Genomic DNA, 22,085 nt, shown 5'->3' on the forward strand with positions numbered 1-22,085 from the left:
AAGCAATTGAAAGGAAGCAGAGTATGGAGCAGATGGGGGCTGGGCTTTCTTATGCATTTCTTCCTTTATCCTAAGAGCAAATATATGAAAAGGTGTTCAAAGTGAAACAGGGTGTTGTTACTTAGTTTTGCCTTTCTCCACTGTGAAGAACAGATTAGTTAGGGGTGCTGCTTTGCAGGGTAGATGTAAGCAAACTATTTGGGAGATTATGGATATAATTTAGCAGTGTGATGGTAGTAACTAGGACTAGATCAAGAGACTGCAAGTCATGGCTCCCAGGCCAAATCTGGACTCTCACTTGTTTTTATAAACAAAGTTTTATAAGAACACAGCCCAGCTCATTCATTTAGTGTCCATGGCTGCTTTCATGTTAGTTACAATGATGAAACTGAGTAGTTGCAACAGAGACTGAATGACTTGCAAAGCTTAAAATATTTACTATCAGACCTTTTACAGAAAAAGCTTACCAACCCATGGACTGGATGAGCAATGGTAGAAATTGACAGAACCAGGTGGACTTTGGAGCGGTTATTGGATTAGTCAAGTTTTTTGCTTCTTGTGTCAGTTACAGTCTTGTAATATTTTCTAGGAAAATTATTAATGATATTGTATAATTTAATATTAAATATTATTTTATTCTCATAATTAATTTCCTCAGAATCCAAGTTTGTATGCTTTTTATATGGTAATGTAGATTTGAGTTTTCTTGGTTTGATTGATGAGACTGGAAAATACTTTCTGCATTTAATGAGATGTTTCAAAGTATTAGCATGGAAACTATATTAATTTTACAGTTTTTCTTTTTTACGCAATAATTTCTATGAATACTTTTCTGACCTTTTATGGTTAATATATTTTTCTAACTTCTCTAGTTTAATGCTTAGTTTATTTCCATCCCATATTGTTAAATACTAAAACATGTTTAAGGCCATATACTGTGATTTGAATACTGCTTTGAATACTATCAAATGATTATTTCTTAGTTTATTTTCTTTTAGTGAGAATAATTGCAACTTCATTTAGATTTCATTCTCTTTCAAGTGGTGCACTATGTGCTTTATTTCATTTTATTATCATGTGGCTCTGTAAAAGTATCATTATTCCCATTTTATAGAACAGGGAACTTACAGACTTTTGTAGTTTATCCAAATTAGGACAGCTTATTATCTACATTTTTGTCTTCCTTCTTGTGGTCAGGGTCAATTTTACTTTGAACTAGTTGGGAGATATTATAATGCTCAAATTTGGGATTTTGGAAATGATAAGAATTTATAAAAAATACTCTAAAAGAAGAACATGACATTCTAATAGTTGCAATAAGTCCAGTGATCCAAAATCCACTTTCTTACCTGGAATGCTACCCCTAATTGTGTAGGAGGAAGTAATCACAAAATGGGGACTTTGTGTCAGATACGGTGATGAATGAAGTCATGGAAGGGGTCACTCAGAAGTGATTTGAGTGCCTGGAAGGTTTTCATGCAGTATATCTCTGCCTAAATTGAGGTAGGATCTTTTACATCTCTTATGAATTGCTTTCCTGATCATTTGAACTAATCAAACACATTTTTAATCTCTAACATTCATTGCCACCACAAGTTTAAAAATTTCTAGCATTAACTGAGGCATTTTTCTTGTTCAGAATACACTTCTTAAGAGTAGATGTGTGACCTCCTGTTTTATCTTACTTCCTGCCTTGCAATTTCTGTGCATTTTGATCCATGAGTAGATACAGGAATACAGAATGAACTAATAATGTATACAGCATGAAGGAGTTGAAGGTAATAGGATTGGGCAGTAATGGGGCTACTTCAAAATATATCATCTGTACTATAGCCTGCCAAGTTTCTACGTGGTCTGAATACTGATGGAGGGAAAAGGTTTGGGCGGGAAAATAGTGGAGTAGAGATTCAGTCTTTTTTTTCTTTTTTTTAACTTTTTAAGAGACAGGGGTCTTGCTCTGCATGCAGGTAAGAGTGCAATGATGTGAACAAGCTCACTGCAGCCTTGAACTCCTAGGCTCCTGCAATTCTCCTGCCTCAGCCTCCTGAGTAGCTAGGACTACTTGCACGTGCCTCCACACCTAATAAATTCTTTGTTTGTTTTAATCAGTGTGTAAGTCTTTTACTTCCCTGGTTAAATTCATTCCAAAGTATATTATTTTTACTTTTTGTAGCTATTATAAATGGGACGATTTTCTTGATTTCTTTTTCAGATAGTTTGCGATTAGTGTATGGAAATGTTACTAATTTTTGTGCATTGATTATTGTATTAGTCTGTTCTCACATTGCTATAAAGAACTACCTGAGACTGGGTAATTTATAAAGAAAAGAAGTTTAATTGACTCACGGTTCCACAGGCTGTACAGGAAGCATGACTAGGGAGGCCTCAGGAAACTCACAATTTTGGCAGAAGGTGAAGGGGAAGCAGGCACATCTTACATGGCCAGAGAAAGAGGAAGAGAGCAAAGGGAGAGGTGGTACATACTTTTAAAAAAGCAGATCTCGTAAGAACTCACTCACTATCACAAGAACAGCAAGGAGGAAATCACCTCCCACCAGGCCCCTCCTCCAGTGTTCAGGATTACAATTCGACATGAGATTTGGGTGCGGACAAAAATTAAAACCATTTCAATTATATATCCTGCAACTTTACTGAATTCATTTATTAATTCCAAAAGCTTTTTTTTTTTTTTTTTGCTGGAGTCTTTAGAGTTGTTCTCTTCTTCTTCTTCCTCCTCCTCCTCCTCTTCTTCTCCTCCTTTTCTTCTTCTTCTTTTTTTTTTTTTTTTTTTTTTTTTTGAGACAGAGTCTCACTCTGTCACCCAGGCTGGAGAGCAGTGGTGCAATCTTGGCTCACTGGAATCTCCACCTCCCGGGTTCAAGCTATTCTCCTGCCTCAGTCTCCTGAGTAGCTGGGATTACAGGCATGAGCCACAGCACCCAGCCAGAGTTTTCTGTACAGAAGATCATGATATCTGTAAACAGGGACAATTTAACTTCTTCCTTTTCAGTTTGGATGCCTTTTATCTCTTTTTTTTTTTTTGTCTAATTGCTCTGTCTAGAACTTCCAACGTTACGATGAACAGAAGTCGAGAGAGTGAGCATTATTGTCTTGTTCCTGATCTCAGAAGAAAAGCTTTTAACTTTTCACTGTTGAGAATGTTAGCTGTGGGTTTGTCATATCTGGTCTTTATTGTGTTGGGGTACAGTCCTTCTATATTTTGTTGAGTTTTTTTAAATCATGAAAGGGTGCTGAATTCTGTTAAATGCTTTTCCTGCATCTATTGAGATTATAAAGATTTTGTCCTTCATCTTGTTGATGTGGTGTATCATGTTTATGGATTTGTGTATGTTGAAACTTCCTGCATCCCAGGGATAAATCCCACTCGATCATGGTGAATGCTTTTTTAAATTTGTGGTTGAATTTCATTTGCTAGTATTTTGATGAGGATTTTTACATCCATGTTTATCAGGGATATTGGTCCATAATTGCCTTTTCTTATAGTGTCTTTGTCTGGCGTTGGTATCAGGGTAATGCTGGCCTCGTGATATGAATTTGGAAGTGTTCTCTCATCTTCAATTTTTAAAAAGAGTTTGAGAATCATTGGTGTTAGTTCTTTAAACGTTTGGTAGAATTCAGCAGTGAAGCCATCAGGTCCTGAGCTTTTCTTTGATGGGAGAGTTTATTACTGCTTTAATCTCTTTACTTATATTGATCTGTTCAGATTTTCTATCTAATCATGATTCAGTTTTGATAGTTTGTCTAGGAATTCCTTGATGTGTCTGGGAATTTGTCCATTTCTTCTAGGTTGAGGTTCTGTCTTCATATATTCTTTTAGACTGTTGAGTTTTCTATGGCACAAAAAGTTACATTAGCTACCAACAATGATCTTTACAGTAGGAATTAAGATGTTTAGTACCAGATTCAGAAAATAATTTTATAATATCTCCTTATTATCACATTCTTAACCCTCTGATTTTTTTTTCTTTCTCACAGAATAAGGTAGGGATTATCTGCTAGCCACCAGGCTACCATGGAAACCAAACAACAGTTTTCTTTACTGGTAAAGACCTCAGACTCTGAAATGGCCCATGGCTGCTCTATAGAGACCTACTTGCCTTATTTTTATTTCTGTGTATATTACACATTTTGCTCATCATGTGCCATGAACACATTATTCAAATGCCACAGTATAAAATATCAAATGCCTAAAAGTGACAAAATGGATTAAATCTTAAGAACCTGTAGTTTACTCTCCTTTAAAAATCAGGACACTGAAATTAAAATGACAAGCTTCCACAGAGGAGTTGGAACTAAAGTCTCAGTCATTTTTACTCAGTGGTGACATTTTTATAGTTCCCTGTCTACACGCAAAGCAGTAACTGCAATCTTCAAGCTCCCTAACTTCATTCTTACCCTATTATAGTGGTTAACGGTAGGTAAATGTGAGATCATTTTTACCTCACTTTTTTTTTTAATTAGCAAAGTTGTTTTGCCAGAATCACAGGTATAGTTGAGTAAAATTAAGTAGTTCCTGAAAGTTTCCCACCATCTTTAAATACCAATATTATGTGAGAAATTTGATTGCTTGATAAGTTAATACTATCAATTCTCAATATTGAAACATTAGAGATTTACTTCTTAAATCATTGGATACTCCTTTCCGAGGGATATCATGATGGAAAAGGCATTACTATCTTTAATATCTATTGGTATCTTAGGAACCTTTAAAACTGTGTCTCTTTCATGTCTTAGAAAAATAGTTCCTAGCCTAGAAAAACTGCTTCTTCATCTATCCTTTTTACCTAATGCCAAGAGTATTATCTTTTGTCCCTTGTACCTAAATGGAACCAGCATCTCTGAAATGTCTATTAAAACCATTATTTTAAGGCTAGGCACAGTGGCTCACGCCTGTAATCCCAGCACTTTGGGAGGCTGAGGTGGGTGGCTCACTTGAGGTCAGGAGTTTGAGACCAGCCTGGGAAAAATGGTGAAACCCCATCTTTACTACTACTAAAAATAGAAAAATTAGCTGGGCATGGTAGCACATGCCTATAGTCCCAGCTTCAGGAGGGTGAGGCAGAAGGATCACGGGAGCCTGGGAGGTGGACGGTTGTAGTGAGGCGAGATCACACCACTGCACTCCAGCCTGGGTGACAGAGAGAGACCCTGTCTCAAAAAAAAAAAAAAAAAAAAGGCATTCTTTTGTGGAAGAAAGCAACAGAGGAAGCGCAGCCTCCAAGAGACCACTGCTAGAATACATTTCTTACCTGCACAGGCCTGATTGGCAGCCCTGTGAACTGTGGACCCTTGAGCTTCTCCCTTTAAACCATCTGCAGAGGTCAGTCTCTCTAGAGCCTGCCAAGCTGTGAGAAGAGGAGGTCAGGTAAATTCCAGGAGAAGGTGGTAAAAGGGGAGCCAGAAAGGATAAGCCGTGACTGCCCTAGAGGAAGCAGGAAAACTTTGGAAAGATGGAAAGGTCAAGATCATACCCAAAATGAGCCCTAAGCCATCAGAGGAGTTTCATAAAGATTCCTATGCTGAAAGTTTGGATTTGGGCCATTCAGGGTAGAAATTATTCTGGGCCATGAGTAAAAGAAAAGATTTCATACAGGATAAAGAAATGAAACTGGACAAAAGAAAACAACCTTTCCTTCCCTCCCACCTGTGCTGAGGGACGGCTCAGGGTTAATGAAAGCTACTGTTAATCCAACAGATTGTTACCTCTTGCTATGCTTTCTCACCCTTGCCTTTCAGACTCCCTCAACTGGATGTCTATTACTGCATTTCATACCTATGACCTCTGGGACAAACCTCTGAAAGGTTTTTCTGGGTCTTCACCTTCTAATGGGGACTTTTCTCCTTTCTTGACAGATATCATTCTTAAAATGAGTAAGTTTACAGGCACTAGACAAGACAAGTATACACCCACAGCAAGCCAGAGTCCTATTTCCATGACTGGCCTCCTTCTTTTCCTTAGTTGACCTCTCTGAACCTGTCGGAAAAGTTGTGAATCTCCTTCACATTATATTCCTAATGAGGCGATTTACCCTGCATGCTAAATAAGATCATGACTATGTAATAAATTCTCCACTCAGAGCTAAGCTTGGAGTCAGCTCTTCAGTAGCTTACGATTAACCTTTCAACTGATGAGAACCCTATTGCTGCGCACAGATGGCACATTTTAAAGTTGTCGTGATTAAAAAATCTCAGTAACCTAGAGCTTTTTTACATATACTTTCAAGAAGTATCTGTTTTTAATTCTAATTTAAGGCTGGTTCCAATTGCTTTTTTTTTCATGCTGGAAAACAATCTGGAAAAACCATTTGAACTGGTAAATATCCATGAAGAGTCTTTTTTAACATTACATGCATATTCAACTAAGAATTTACATACACGAAGAAAAAAAGCCCAACTTTCCAGTTCTTATCTCACAGCCTGACCTCTTTTATGTGTGACGGAAAACTCTCCTTGTCTTCTGAGGAGGGGGAGCCCAGGTATTTGGAAAGCCTTGTTGTTAGGCCAGAGGGATGCCAGTGGCAAGTTTGGAGATGTGGAAAAGGGACACAGGCGTATTTGTGGAGGACTGACGGTAGAGTCAGAGGTGAAATTTTGAAGTAAAATGCGATCCACTGGGTAACATGAAACCCTTCCTCCTATTCCTGCACATTGTTTATGAACACCTTGGTAAGTGGATTACCTACCCTGAACTCTAAGAAGTGTTAATCCTGCTCCTCATTTGAAATGGGTTGAAACAGAGGCAATGTTTGGGTACATCTGTCTGTCTTCTCATGTGTGGAAATGCTCTTGATTTTTAAAATATTGTGTCCACTAAAGCCTGAAATCCCATCAGTAGCATAGATACCTCTTTTAAGTAATCGTCTTTTCTTTTACAATGATGAAATCCAATCAGAGTGAGTTCTCTGCACCTTTGTGGGAAAGAACTTGTGTTTTCCCTGAGAACTGCCGACAGACTGGTTAAGGGAGATAACAACCTGGCAAGCAGCCAGCCCAATTTATACCCTGCCCTGCCCTGCCAGTCCAGAGAGTGCCTAAATGCCAAAAATATTGGTAATGGTAATCCAGGCCAGGATATTCCAAGAGAAAAGGATCTCTGCTTTTGTTTCCCATCATATCCTACCCTTCCCTACATAATTTACCTGAATGCTACAGCTCCTGAATTTTGGTCTTGAGCAACCTGAAGAGAAAGGCTGGTGGAGACCCACAGGCGGTGGAGCTTTGGCAAGAATGAGAGAGGCAGGCTGGTGATCCAGGATTCCAGCAGAAATGGGAAGGGAGTGAATGGTAGTAAGAGAAGTGACAGAATAGATCTCTAGGGGAAATATATGTATGATGTATATATGTGTGTGTATGTACAGAGAAAGAGAGAGAGAGACAGAGAGAGAGCAGAGCGTCATGTGTTCATTCATTACGAATTAATCTGGTGATAATGGAATTACTGTGTGTCCAGCATAGTCCTCAATCTCAACAAAGCTTCTACCTCTGGCAAGAGCGGTTACAGATGTGAAACCTGAATGCCAGAAAAAATCAGTGCTAAGAACTTAGACAAAACGTAAACATGCCCAGGGGACTGCAGTCAGCATGGACAGCAGCAGCATGAGGTGCAGCTAACTTCTGCAGGTGACACAATGGCGTTGCAGTTGATGCAGCCTGGGAAACTTCTTCAATTGTCCCTCTCATTGAAAGACTGAGATTTTCTCTAATATCTCAACACCCTGGTTGATCCAGCCTTCTCTCCATGGCTTTACTTTGAAAGATGAAAGCAATTTCCGTCCTGCAGAGAAAAGTTTCCATGATTGAGGACACACCCAAGGTAACTGATCACTTCAGCTGCCTCATTCTGCCATATTTATTCACAAGAAAGATGCATTTTGAAAAGGAAAAACTTGAAATGTAGGTTTAAAAATTAACCCTTGAGGTCAAATAGCTCTCAGAAACTACTTACTAAGAATAGTTGAGAGAAACGAAATAGCTATAGAGAAATTTCACAGACGCTTTATATAAATATGAGTGCTGCTACACACACACACACACACACACACACACACACACACAGACACACTCACACACACAAACAGTGCTATTAAGGAAGGCTAGAAAGCATTGATATCTCCTCCCAAATAAAAAACTTAATAGAAAATAAGAACTGTGATATCGAAACTTAGCTGCTTTATGAAGCTGTTACCTGACTGCCAAATACCTCCTCTACTTCTTTCCTGGAGTCTTCCCTTAGGTTCTCTCTTTCCCTTTCTTTCTCTCTCTCTCCCATGCTTCTTAAGGATCAGGTGTGCAGAATTTGCTTTAGCCAGTACTTAGTTTATGAGTTACTACTGTCATCATCCATTTGTCAGGGTCTCTCTTTTAAGAATCTTTTGAGTTTTCTCTTTGTCTTTTTCAATCCCATTTCCAATCCCCCGCATAGGCACCTATTTGTGTATTTAGTATATATTCTTCCAATCCACCGGCTACATGTTTATTTAGATAATTACAGATGCTTGAAAACTACACAGTGCTATGTGGGCACCTAATTATGCATAGATGGTATTATGCTGTGGGATTTCCCTCTCTCTCTGTTTTCCCACTCAACATATGTTTCTGTAATCTATACATGTTTCTGTATGTGAATCTCACTCATTGCTCTTCACTGCTATATAGTATATGTCATAAGCCATAATATGCCTCTATCACATCTTATATTTCGTTCTCCTACCAGTGGGGTACTCTTTGCAACATTTAACCACACTTCAATAAATCTCCCCTCGCCTGACAACTTTTTGAATTTTTCTGAGGGATGGACAGACAGGCCTTGCTGGGAGACAGAGTATATATAATACATTCTTAATTTCAATAAGTGCCACTAGATTGCTCTTTGGAATGGCTGTATCAGTGCAAATGCCCCACAAACAAATCATTTTCACCCTTCCCGTGTAGCAGGTAAAATTGTTCAACTTTCACAATTTTCCAATATAATGAGTGCAGCATGGTACTCATTTTAGAGGACGGAATGCCTGAATTCTAATTTAAGATGCAGAACATTTAGTAGTTAATCTCATTCATAAGTGTTATTAATGTATGACTGCAGTAAGATGTTACTGCAGTAAGATGTCCCCTGCAGTAAGTTGCTTTACTGTGTCCAAGACTTTACCTTTCCCTGTCTCCACATCTTTAGCTGTATGACCTTGACGTTCCTTCCACAAAAGGTGATGTATATTTCCTCACCCCACTGATAGTAAGCTAAGCAGAGGTGACAGTCCTAGGCTGAGGCTTTAAGAGCACTGGGGGCTTCTCCTCACTCTTTTGCACTTCTGCCATCAGCAGGAACATAATGAAACTCTGGTGGCATAAGAGGATTCTATGACACCATAATTACCAGAACAATTTATTCTTTACTATTCTGGAGGTTGGAATTCCAAAACGGGTAATACTGGGCTAAAATCAACGTGTCAGGAAGGCTGTGTTCCTTCTTGAGGCTCCAGGAGAAGTCGTTTCTTTGCCCTTTCTGGGTTCTAGAGACTGCCACATTCGGGTTTGTGACCTCTTTTTCTGTCTTAAAGCCAGCAACATCAGGCTGTGTTCTTCCCACGCTGCCTGTTCTCTGCTTCTCCCTCCAGTTCTCTCTCTGTGTCTCCTGCCTCCAACTTTCATTTTTAAGAGCCCCATGATTACCATTGGCCTACCCAAATAATCCAGGATAATTAAAGATAATTTCATCTCAAGTTTACCTCATTAGCAACCTAATTCCTTCTGCAACCTAATTCCCCTGTGCCACGTAACCTAACATATGCACAGGTTCTAGGAAGTAGGACATGGACATCGTTGGGGGACCATTAATTTGCCTACCACCAGTAGCTCTTAACAACAAGAGTGTGAAGCAGATTTGAATCTAAACCCTGGCCTGGAGCCACACCCAACTGAGATCAGCAGAGTGGCCCTACTTGATCCATAGACACACCGGTGAGATGTTAATACCTGCTCTTATAGTCATTGAAATGTTGGAGTTGCTTGTCATTATTGTGGCAATAGTTGACAGAATAATCTACAAACAAAATCAGCTAAGAATGTTAACCTGGTTTTCACAAGAGGCCAAACATTTTGGGAAAATCTCCCAACTACTTTATTCTTTCTTCATAGGATCTTTATTTATAAAGTTGTGCTGGATTGTGGTCAAATCGGCATCACTACCATCTTTTCTAGAGTGGGAATTGTCTTCCCCCAAATCCTTTTCCTCTCATGGCTCTGGGTCAGAGTAGGATAATTAGAAGTACTCTGGTAAAATTTGGAAGGTCAGAGAAAAAAGGACCATTAATCTCTGAAGGCAGCTGCAGGCAAAATGTGGGCAGAAGAGAGGTTCACTGAGTCTTCCCAGCCAGTCCTGAGAACCATCCTCTCCAGCACCTCAGCCTGAGCTCCCCAGGGTGGCTTCCCTGACCTTGCCTTCCCTAGCTCTTCCAATAGTTTTAAAGTCCTTGTTTCCTCTACTAAGATCCCTTATGCTTGGGATGCATGAAATGGCCTCTGTCTTCCTGACCAAACCCTGACAGATACAATGTCAACCGGCATAATTTAAGGATGGACTATGTGCTGGTCACGACATGCGGTGATCTCAGAGTAGCCTTAGGTTCCACCCTTGTGACGTTGTCATTTTTATCTGGATCCATACATTTGACCACACTCTATTCAAATTCTGCTCACCAAAAAAAATGCTCAGAATTCTCTTATTAGAGACTCAGAGATTGTTTTTATAAGTTAATCATATTAATACATCTAGTATCATGTTGACATGGATCATTTTTCTACACATATGATTAGTTACTACTTCCTTATCCTATATTTCTTTCTCAGACCTTTTTTTTTTTTTCCCAGATGGAATCTCACTCTGTCACCCAGGCTGGAGTGCAGTGGCACTATCTTGGCTCACTGCAGCTTCCGCTTCCCGGGTTCAAGCAATTCTCCTGCCTCAACCTCCCAAGTAGCTGGGGTTACAGGTACATGCCACCACGCCTTGCTAATTTTTGTATTTTTAGTAGAGACGGGGTTTCACCATGTTGGCCAGGCTGGTCTTAAACTCCTAACCTCAACTGATCCACCTGCCTCAGCCTCCCAAAGTGCTGGGATTGCAGGTGTGAGGCACCACGCCCAGCCTCTCAGATCATTTTTTTTACCTAAATCAGCCTGCATTTGTTTCTGTTGAATTTCCTTGGGGTTTGGCAAATGCAGTATATTCTTTTAATGAAAATTATATTGGGCTTTATTTCCTAATTCTGAAATTCTAATAACTCACTTAACATAAGCTCGTCAGTACTATGATTAGCATACTATAAACTTCTTGATCAGAAAATCAATGAAGTTACTGATTAGGAGAGATGCTAGGGTCAATCCCTGCCAAATACTGCTTAACACATCCTTACAGACTAATGGCAAAGCCATTGTTATGACTGTCATGTACAGCTTGCACATCCCTCAGAAGAGTAACATGGTGAATACCACACAATTTGTATTATTAATGACCTGTGGGTTAGAATCAAATGTTTTACTAAATTAAAAATAAACTTCATAAAAATAAAAATAAAAACTTAAAAACCATAAGGCACCACTCAATTCATTAAAATAAATTGTATTACAATTATGTATATGAAAAATTCTTAACATTTTATATGCAATTCTTGCACACAATGATGTCCACTCTAAGTCTGGCTCTTCGCATTGACATTTGTATTTGTTGACATTGGCATTGGTTAATATGTTAATATTTACTTTGTCGTCTCTCATAAAGGACACATATATTATGGGCATACTTAGCCTGTTCATTGATGTGGGTATTTTTATCCTATAACTTGTTACAATTTTGTACATACAAAATGTAAAACTGGAATTATATTATAAATGATAATTAAAATGATGAGTCACCCATAAAAGTAATCAAATCCTGCTTCCTCTAAACACAAGTGAACATTCAGTTGATTCCTGCCTCATCATATAATTGTTGCACTGGTCTTTTTCCCTCTCTATCCAGATGAGCTACTTAACAGCCACAGCCCTCCGACTTTGGAATAGCCCTGCCTGCCATCATCATCTGTCCTGAGAGGAAGGCTTGCCTTTGAAATTCCTTTATTGTAGCAGACATTTGCTGCTAGGTCTCTTTTGTTAGTGCACATGCCTGCTCTTCAGCCTGCCTGTGTTCCTGCACCCATATTTCTGTGTGTCTGCCCCTCTCCCCACCTTGCCTAGCCTTCTATTCTAGTGTTTGCACTTTTCCAGGATCCTGGAATTTGTTCTGTTGCTTTAACTTGCTTTCCTGTGGCTGAGCTCCACTGGCTCCTGACTGCCTGCTTGGTTTGTCTGCCAGCTTGCCTTACCCTTGGGCTTCAATCTTCACAATCCTCATAATCTTGCTCTGAGCATAGGGTACCATGCAGCCCAATTCTACGTGGTTCATCTGCTCCTGACTTAACTGAATCTACCTCTTACTTGAGCCCCTTATATTAAAGAGGGTCGATGGCTTTTATAATGAAAGTGACTGCAATACAAATACATTTTAATGGTGTCACAACCTTTAAACATTAGCAGTCCAGGTTGTTCAAGGACCACCTTAAGTTCTGAACTTAGTGTGTAGAAAAGTTTCCACAAGTAAAAAATATTTTCATGCTTCTGAATATTTTATGGGTTTTGTCCTACATAGGAATACTTGCTATCTTTATTGAAAGGGGTATGTGGAATCAAATATCTGAATAAATTATGTCATATATATACAGCAGCCTTTTTCAAAATGTGGTTCATGTGATATTTATTGATACTAGATGAATAAAACTAACATTGTGTTTGCAAAATTTGGGAAATACGGGGGTTTATCAAAGTTAGACAGGTTTCTTTTATGTAGATTTTCTCTGAACCTTTTATATGTTAATTGAATTCTGAATCTTTATAAGAGGTAAGGTTTGCAGAATATCACTGAATAGTTTGACTACAGATCCCTTTTATCTATGCAACACCTTTTTACATCTCACTGGATACCAGGATCCTATGGAACATGATTTGGGAAATGCTGCAAGATAGGCTTTCAGGAAGCCTTTTAAAGATAAAGTGCACAGATCAAAACAGCTCCCTCTCAATAAGAGAAATCTGCCTCACTGCAGCCTGAGTTAATATTAATCTGTGAGCCTGAGACAAGAACTCAACAGGAGAGTTAGATATAGTCAAGAACGATCAAAGGCATGAGAACCAACTGGACATTGTGATTGCTCTCTGGTGGGAAGGCCTACTGCAGGTAACCTTCCTTTCTCTTTTCAAAAGCACAATGCATCCAGACTATGGAACTCTCTCTTCTCTCTCTGCTTTATTCTAACAAGAACCATGTGACAGAACAAATTCCATCCAACCCTCTCTGACATAATGTTCAAATGAGGATGTTTATGGGTTTGAAGCATTACTATTAGTCCATGCTACTTTTGAAGTGTAATCTTTTAAAAGCTCAAATCTAAACTGGGCAAGTCTGTAGTTTACTATTTTCCTTACGTTTTAATCACAAAAAAAGCCTCAAATTCTTAAAATGAATATGGGGGAGAATACAAATTTAATACACTAGCCATTGTGTTTCCAGTCCATATATTTTTCTGTTTCCTGTGAACTTCCAGGTCCAATTCCATTCCACAAATTCCATATCCTATAGCTATTGCCTTAGTGAAAAAAAATAGGAGAAATAAAAAATCACACAAAAAATTGTTGCCATTTAGATTTAATATCTAGGTTGGGACATAAAGAATGGCTCTTGAAGAATAGCAGAAGATCCCGGCTATCTTGACCATAGTCTTCTAAATGAAGCGTTTAGGGGAAGAAGACAAAAGACAGAAGAGGATGTTGTGAGCAGGGATCAGTGATCTAGTACTAGAGAAGCAGATCTGAATGACAGGAGGATCATCAACATCTAGGTACTGTCTTTACCTGAGCAATCACAGTCTCCACAGTGCTGAAAACTACACAGAAACCAAGAAATCACCCATAAACCATCACATACATTTCCATTCGAGGGAATGTGATTACTTGTACCAAGATGGCAAGTTAATCATAGTTTCCATGGCCATCAAAGAAGGCTCTCCCACCATTCTTTGACAGCAGGATCACATCTAATCATAGTGATCCCTATCTATGTACTGAGACTGTGTCTTCCATTTTATATGAACAACCCATCTTTTAGTACCTCAGGACACTCAATCCCTTTGGAGACAGAAGGTTTCTGGACACCTAGACAGAGAGTAATGATGTAGTAGGGAAAGCATCTGAGGTCTGTACTTGTGTAGACTGAATAGAGCCAGCTCAGATTCTCCCTAGACCAGATCAAAGCTGAAACACCTAACCTCACCCTGTCTGACAGATATTCCTGCCTCTGGCAAACTCAGGCTGATGTTTGGCCAGAGAAATAGGTTTCTAAAATATGTTAACACATTCCTTGGCTGAAGAATCACACATCTTTAATTGTTTAAAATTTACTTCCAATAATGTTATAAAGTTTAAAAATCTCTAGCTTTTGTTGTAAAGTCTACCATGTCGGGTAGTTTTCCAAGGTGGCACTTCTCTGGAAGAGTTAGTGCAATGGACCATAATGGAGATATGTTCTTGTTTCCAAAGATATTCTGAAGACCATAACAGTGCCTGCTGGCAGTGGCTTCTCCTTTTAATGGCTTGTGCCACCTTCCAAGTACCCAAACAGCTATGTCTCTCTTCAGTGCAGAGCCACAGGGCTTACCTTATATTTTTGAAAAATCTTTAGTGTCTGTTTGAAGTTTCAGAAGCTATTAGTCTCATCTGATTTAGGCTTCCATTCTTTGTTTGTTTGCCTTTTTTGTTTCTGTTTTGAGACAGAGTTTTGCTCTTGTCCCCCAGGGTGGAGGGCGATGGTGCGATCTTGGCTCACTGCAACCTACGTTTCCTGGGTTCAAGTGATTGTCCTGCCTCAGCCTCCCGAGTAGCTGGGATTACAGGTGCCCACCACCACTCCCAGCTAATTTTTTGTATTTTTAGTAGAGATGGGGTTTCACCATGTTGGCCAGGCTGGTCTTGAACTCCTGATTTCAGGTGATCTGCCCACCTTGGCCTCCCAAAGTGCTGGGATTACAGGCGTGAGCCACCACGCCCAGCCTAGGCTTCCATTCTTGCCTCTACAACTAAAATGTTTTGCATCTATATAAACCTTGAAATAATCTCTCTAAGCATATGTCTGGAAGCATTTCCATTTTATTAGAGCAACTGAAGTCCCTAGGATATTTGAAGTGCTTAAACTTTCATCTGTCTTACTGATAATATCTTATATGCCGGGCATTTGCATTTTTATGTGTATGTTTTTCTTTTTCTACATGATCAACCTTCATTGTTAAATCTTCTTTCCAGTCACAGGTGACTTTCCCGGAATAGCAGATGAAAAGCTAAGAAATATGATTGCATATTCCAACATGATATTTTTGGAAAATATCAGTTTTCTGTATTCAGACATCCTGTTTCTTAAAGTTTGGTTGAAGAAATTTGTGTACAATAAATAGTTGTCTTTTTGCAAGTATGAAGACCAGGTTGTCGCTTTAGGCAGTAACCAGGAGCTGAATGGAAGATAATGCTATAAAATGCACCTGAAAAAGAGTTCATAACTATCCCTCCCTCCTTTCATTATATTCATAGCCACAGTGATTAAATGTCTTTGTGTGATAGTTAATACGTTAATTTGAAACAAATTTGAAAAAACCCCTGTAAAGTCCACCTTGCTTCTGTCTCAACCACCTATTAAAATAGCCCTGAAGGAGTCTTTTCTTTTCATAAGTAGTAGAGGATCTCTCCTTTTGGCCTTAACATCCAACCACCAAAAAGCATAGAGGTAAAATGGTAAGTTCATTTATTTTTTATATCATGAAACAAAAATTGAATCTCTAAATCTTTATGTGACAAGAATAATACAAGGTGGTCGCAGGAGAATAGAAAATTCCAGGCAGCATTTTCACATTACTAGCAAAAGGAAACTGTTGAAATAGCTGCAGAAGCTGGGACTAATACGATCCTAAAAAACCAGGGTGTGGACCAAGCTGGCTAAGACTAACTGGAACCAACATGGCCCTGGATTTGACCTTGGTTTCACCTAGGACCTCATTCTATGCTCATTAACATACTCAATCACACACCCACCAGCACCATGACAGTTCCGAGAACACTCATATTTGTTGTAAAAAAAGGGTGGCACCACAGTTCTGAGAAATCAACTTTTTCCAGGACTTTTCATGAATATCCCACCCCTTGGTTAAAGAAACCCATAAAGATAGAAACCCCAAACTCCACTGAATGACTGTCTCTTGAGAACTCCATGCTCTTCTTTCTTGGGTGTGTAATTTTCACTTGCAATAAATCTCCATACTTTCACATTTTCTGACTCATCCTTGAATTCCTTCTCGTGATGGTGCCAAGGGCCTGGACACTGGCTGGGGCCAAAGTCCCATCAGCATTTGGGGACCTCCCCCAGCCCACCAGTGTCATTTACAGTTGTCTGATTATAATAAATTCAGGAAAAGTTTCTGAGCCTCAGCTTTTGATTTGTAAAATGAGGATATGAAGAGCCACCATACCCACTTCAGAAAGTTGTTACATGTTTCAAATAAGATGTTGTAATATAAAATAAAGTTTAACAATAAAAGTGGCTGCTTATGTTCTAGACAAAGAAAATTTATACAGGTAATCTGAGAGATCCTTCAAACATGTGAAGAGCATATTGTTATTCCCCATTTTCAGAGGAATAAATTAATAAGAGGCAAGTTACATTTAATTGGCTTGCTCAGGGCTCTACAGCTTGTAAATGGCAAATTTCTGCATGGCAAACAACATAAAAATCCAGAAGACTAAAGGCAAATAAAGAAAAAAAATTGCAACACCTAACAACCTTAGATAAAGTTTGTTATATTTTAAAAACCAGCAAATATATTTTTAAAATCACCTAATGGAAAAATTGGCATAGGATATGAATTTGCACTTCATGAAAAATAATAACTGCCCAAGTGCTCTTATATGTTAAACCTAACCAATGAAGACATACAAATAATAATAATTATGAAATAGTTTTCATGCGTGTATGTTTCAAACGGTCAAATATGATTAAAAAAAACCACCGTGTTGTCAGGAGTATATGAAAAAATTCTCAGTCTATTCTTGAAGTGAATATAAATTGAAGCAAAATTTGGAATGCCTATTACTAATGTATATTAAAATTTACAACCTTTTACTCTCTGACTCAGCAATTCCACTTTTAGAACTTTACCCTGCCAGTATTTATACAAACGTATTCTTTCCAACCTTATTTGCAGTAGAAAAAAAAATTAGAAACACTACAAATGACTCCCAGTAGGGAATTGGGTAAGTGAATTATGATCTGAGTATATGGTATCATACTCTGCAGTCACTAAAGTAGTAAGATTAAATTATATATGTGATTAAGAGGACAAAGATATATTTTGAAGTGGGTACAAATTTTCAAAACAATATGTCTAGCATTTTGTTTTAAGTTGTATACCTCTATACACATCTATTTGACATATATATCAATAATTTCTATAAGAGTTTGACCAACTTGGTAACAGTGGTCATTTATTTCGAAGTGGAAAAAATATTATAAGACACTTGCTTTACTTTTTTACATCTTCTTAGTGTTTAAATTGTTTACACACCAAGACTATTTCCTTCCAGGCTTGTTTTCTTTCCATTATCCCATTTTACCTTTTGAAAGTATTTTGTAAAGCACAAAAAGTGAAATTACTACTATTAGTATTCCTTCTTGTGTTGGTCTGATGGAGTTTCACCATAGCTAAGTAGATCTCTTTTTATTGGTAGCAGAGTTCAAGTGAATCTCTTCTCATTACCCTTGATTGCCATTTGTGCCAGTCATTTGCCTGTTGTACTCAGGTCTATTTGCTGGCTTTCCACTCTCTGTTTTTAGTCTCAGAAGTCTGACTCTGCAAACTACAATTCCCAGGAGCCCCTGGCCATTGGCCTTCAGCTAGAGAGTGGAAGGAGGGAGGAAGAGGAAATTCAGGGCATCTTCCCCCTTCTCTGTGCTTTGAGTGGCATCTTGGGTGGACTGGAGCTCTTTCCCTCTGGCAGCCTCTCCCTCCATGGTCCAGCTCCCACTCTTCTGCCCCAGCAGCTGTGTTCCAGCAGAGGTTTCGCCTACTTTCTTTGATCCTCCAGCCTGAGGAGCAGCTTCCCATCCCCACTCACCTTTTTGCTGTCTTGACTTCTCTGTTGATATTTCCAACTCTGTTAATACCATTTTAACTAGTCCCTTGTATTAAAAAAAGTCTCTCGAACTACATAGCATGGTTTTTGTATTCTGCTGGAATCTTGACTAATACACAATTTACATTCAATGTATTCACCACAAATTTTCCTGCATGATACACTGAATGCATAATAAACATAAGAGGAAAGTGTGTCCTCCTGGAGTTAGAGAGAAGGAAACCAACAATTCGGCTAAGAATTTTCCTGCCATTTAAAAGAAAAATCCTCAGACTGGGCATGGTGGCTCACGCCTTTAATCCCAGCACTTTGGGATGCTGAGGTAGGTGGATCACCTGAGGTCAGGAGTTCAAGACCAGCCTGGCCCACATGATGAAACCCTGTCATTATCAAAAATACAAAAAAATTAGACGGGCGTGGTGGCATGTGCCTGTAATCCCAGCTACTTGGGAGGCTGAGGCAGAAGAATTGCTTGAACTCAGGAGGCGGAGGTTGTAGTGAGCTGAGACTGCATCATTGCACTCCAGCCTGGGCAACAAGAACGAAACTCCACCTCAGAAAAAAAAAAAAAGAGAAAAAAAGAAGAATCCTCACTCTTTCTATGTAGTATTATTTTCCTCAAATCACAGCAAGGAGATATTGACTCAGATTAATTAATTGGCTTATACATGGCAGAGCTGGGATTCAGGTTCAGATATTTCTGACTCTGAAGCCCAAGTTATTTCCAAGATGCTATAAAGTTGATTTCTGTGTCTTTTCTTTCCCCTTTTTGTGTGCTCTTTTGCTTCACCCCTTCAGGCATCCACCATCCACAGAAAACACTTGTCTGTGGTGTTACTCTTCCTTCACACCTTGCTTTCTGCTAATCTGATAAACAAATTTGAGCTGAGCCAGTATGTAATGATATTTGCTGCTCTGCCAGAAGATAAAAAATGGATTCACGATTTTAACTCAAGCCTGTAATCATTTCACTAAAACATATATTCATGCATTCCACTTTTCTTTCCCGAAAATGTGCTGGTTGCTAGATACACAGCACTGAACTAGAGAGATTGCAGCCTGGTAGGGAAGAGAGTCATCAAACAACTTTATTGAGTTCTGTGTAGGGGAAATGCTCAGTGGAAGCCCATGAGAGGAAATTGTCCTAGAGAGTCCAGAAATACTTTCCTAAGGAAATGAAATTTGTTTTGACCATAAAGGAGGCATTAGATAAGTAAAGGCTGAGTAAGTGGGAGAAGGATAAAAATTATATGACAGCATATAAGTAGGTCCTAGTGCAAGAAAAAGAATGACCCATCAGAGAAAAATTTTTAAGGCCAATAATTCTGGAGTGTAGAGAGAAGAGTTGGACAAGGCAGGAGAATGGGGAGGCAGCCTGATCACGGAGAACCCCAGGAGACATATTAAGGATTATAAATGTGGGTTTTTTTTTCCATTCTAAGAGCAATGGGAAACCATCAAAAGGTATTTAGCAAGGAAGAGACATTAAAACATCTTGCTTTCTAAAATGAATACTCTGGCTACAATCTGAATAATAAACTAGAAGAAGGTGATAATGGGTGCAGGTAAACCATTTAGGAGGTTTTTTGAGTACTCTTAGAGATGATGGTAGTGGGCATTATGGGATGTTGGAGGGAGATGGAGAGAAGAGGTGGATTTGGGAGATACTAGGAAGTGGAACGAATAGGATTTGGGGAGTTGAGAATAGAAGGAATCTAGAATAATTCCTAGTCTGGGATTGTGTGCTAAAATAGGGAAAAGTGGAGGAACAGGCTTAGCACAGGAGAAGTCATGAGTTCAGTTGTTTGGGACATGTTGAGTTTTTGGGGTCTTTGAGCAATCTAAGTGGGCATGCTGAGTTGGCATATATATATATATACACACACACACGTGCACACACACAAACCCTTTTCAAGCACAGATGAGAGATCAGGACTGGATATGGAATCTTGACGTTGTTGAGTTTTGGGTGACAATTCAAGCCCAGAGAAGTGGATATGATCGTTTAAAGGAGAGAGTCAAGAAGAGGACCTAGGAGTGAACTCTGAAGAACAAGAAAATTTGTGATCTCAAGGAGGAGAGACACCCGTAAATAAGTTCTTCGAGCTTTTTTAGTTTTTTTTAAAGGATGAATGGAAACTCAAAGATACTGTTCAATTCTAATGTTGGAGAAAACATGTTCAAAAGGAGAGATATTAGACAAGGACCATTTCAAACATTTAGCCTGCCTACAATGTGCACGTGTGCATCCGCCGCCCACCACCACCAAGCGCACCTTCTGAAAGAGTGAAACAGCCCATTCACAGTGCTGTTTTCCCTTCTAAGTTGTCTCTACCAATAGTTCTCAGGCCAAAATGGTGTTGCAGAAATGCCTTCACAAAAGACACAGACATCCTGGCTAACACGGTGAAATCCCGTCTCTACTAAAAAAAACACAAAAAATTAGCCGGGCGTGGTGGCGGGCGCCTGTAGTCCCAGCTACCCGGGAGGCTGAGGCAGGACAATGGCGTGAACCCGGGAGGTGGAGCTTGCAGTGAGCTGAGATCGTGCCACTGCACTCCAGCCTGGGTGACAGAGCGAGACTCCGTCTCAAAAAAAATAAAAAATAAAAAAAATAAAAATAAAAAAAACAAAAGACACAGACATGTTCAAGCTAATCTTCAAGGTTGCTGGTGGTGACCTGGACAGGCTGGCAGTGGTTTTGCCACCTTCAATCTTAACTAAGTCTCCATCTCAAGATTTTTCTGTAAATGTAGACAATAAACAAATTCTCTGTTCCCTCATCTCTTGCTGTATTGCCTTTTTAAAGCTTGCCAATTATCATTATATTTGCATGAACTTCAAAAATAGCTATTTCAGCTACTATCCATATAACATTAATTCTTCTAGAATAGGCACTTACAATTCTACTAAAAGACTTGTGTGGGTTTCCACATAACTCTCTTTAATTATGTATGTCCCCTACATTTCCAGTTTCTGTTTTTGTTGCCAAGTGAGTATTAGAAAGTTAATTTACCCTATTAACGTTGGCCTATTTCTTTAGTCTCTATTTAGATTTACAAATTTAAGATATCTGTTTTTCTTTTCTCTCCTTCTATCCCAACTCTTCTGATCTCCCAAGGAAGATAACTTGGTGAGTGCCTGAGGAGACTAATTTATTTGTTCACTTAATTTTTTAGAAAACGTTAATTACCTGAGGTCTTATTCAAGTAATTTACCTTACTGGAAGACTAAGGGTACTCATATAACTGGAAGTAACTTAGTACACACTAGAAAATAATTAACAGAGCCTGTGGAAATAATGTAACACACAAATATACAATTAGATGTTGTAGTAGGAACTAGAGGGCATTTCTCTGGGAAATACATTTAAAACCAAGACTTCATGAGACTAGAGCAGGTGTGTTGTCATAGCTGAGTCCTCACACTGGCAGGCAGTGGAGTCATGATATGCATAACACTATGCTGATTCTCCAGGCTAGCACCTAGTGAGACAGCTTGGCTTTGCAGCAGCAATATATTCACCACCACCACCACCACCACCACCACCACCACCACCACCACCACCACCACTACATCATCATCATCATCATCATCATCATCATCATCATCATCATCATCATTGCCATTATCATTGATGGAGGTCATGCTATGAGCAGACCCTGTGCCAATACCTCTAGAAAGATGATTTTTTTTCCAGTCAAGGAAAGGGAAACCTTATTGAATTCCCCGGGCAATGGGGCTCAGGAAGGAGGCTGCCCTGCGAGGGCAAGAGGAGCCAGTAAAGGGGCTCTTATTTGACCTTCTTG

The 22,085-nt window shown here is 39.1% G+C and overlaps 2 long non-coding RNA genes across 3 annotated transcripts; one reads left to right on the forward strand and one right to left on the reverse strand.

Annotated features, from left to right (window-relative positions):
• Window positions 1–3,654: 3,654 nt before the first annotated feature.
• LOC105372038 (uncharacterized) lies at window positions 3,655–9,320 on the reverse strand. The gene is made up of 3 exons (NR_134589.1): window positions 9,167–9,320; window positions 5,271–5,366; window positions 3,655–3,851 (listed from the first exon to the last, which is right to left on the reverse strand). It is a non-coding gene; the product is annotated as an uncharacterized LOC105372038 (long non-coding RNA).
• A 112-nt stretch (window positions 9,321–9,432) lies between these two features.
• On the forward strand, window positions 9,433–12,775 carry LOC105372040 (uncharacterized). Of its 2 annotated transcripts, XR_007066324.1 has the most exons (4): window positions 9,438–9,547; window positions 9,811–9,975; window positions 10,885–11,006; window positions 12,035–12,775. It is a non-coding gene; the product is annotated as an uncharacterized LOC105372040 (long non-coding RNA). The 2 variants fall into 2 exon arrangements; XR_007066325.1 differs by lacking the exon at window positions 9,811–9,975 and having other exon boundaries at window positions 9,433–9,547.

Source organism: Homo sapiens, chromosome 18 (genome assembly GCF_000001405.40).
Source record: "Homo sapiens chromosome 18, GRCh38.p14 Primary Assembly".
In the NCBI taxonomy this organism is placed as follows: Eukaryota; Metazoa; Chordata; class Mammalia; order Primates; family Hominidae; genus Homo; species Homo sapiens.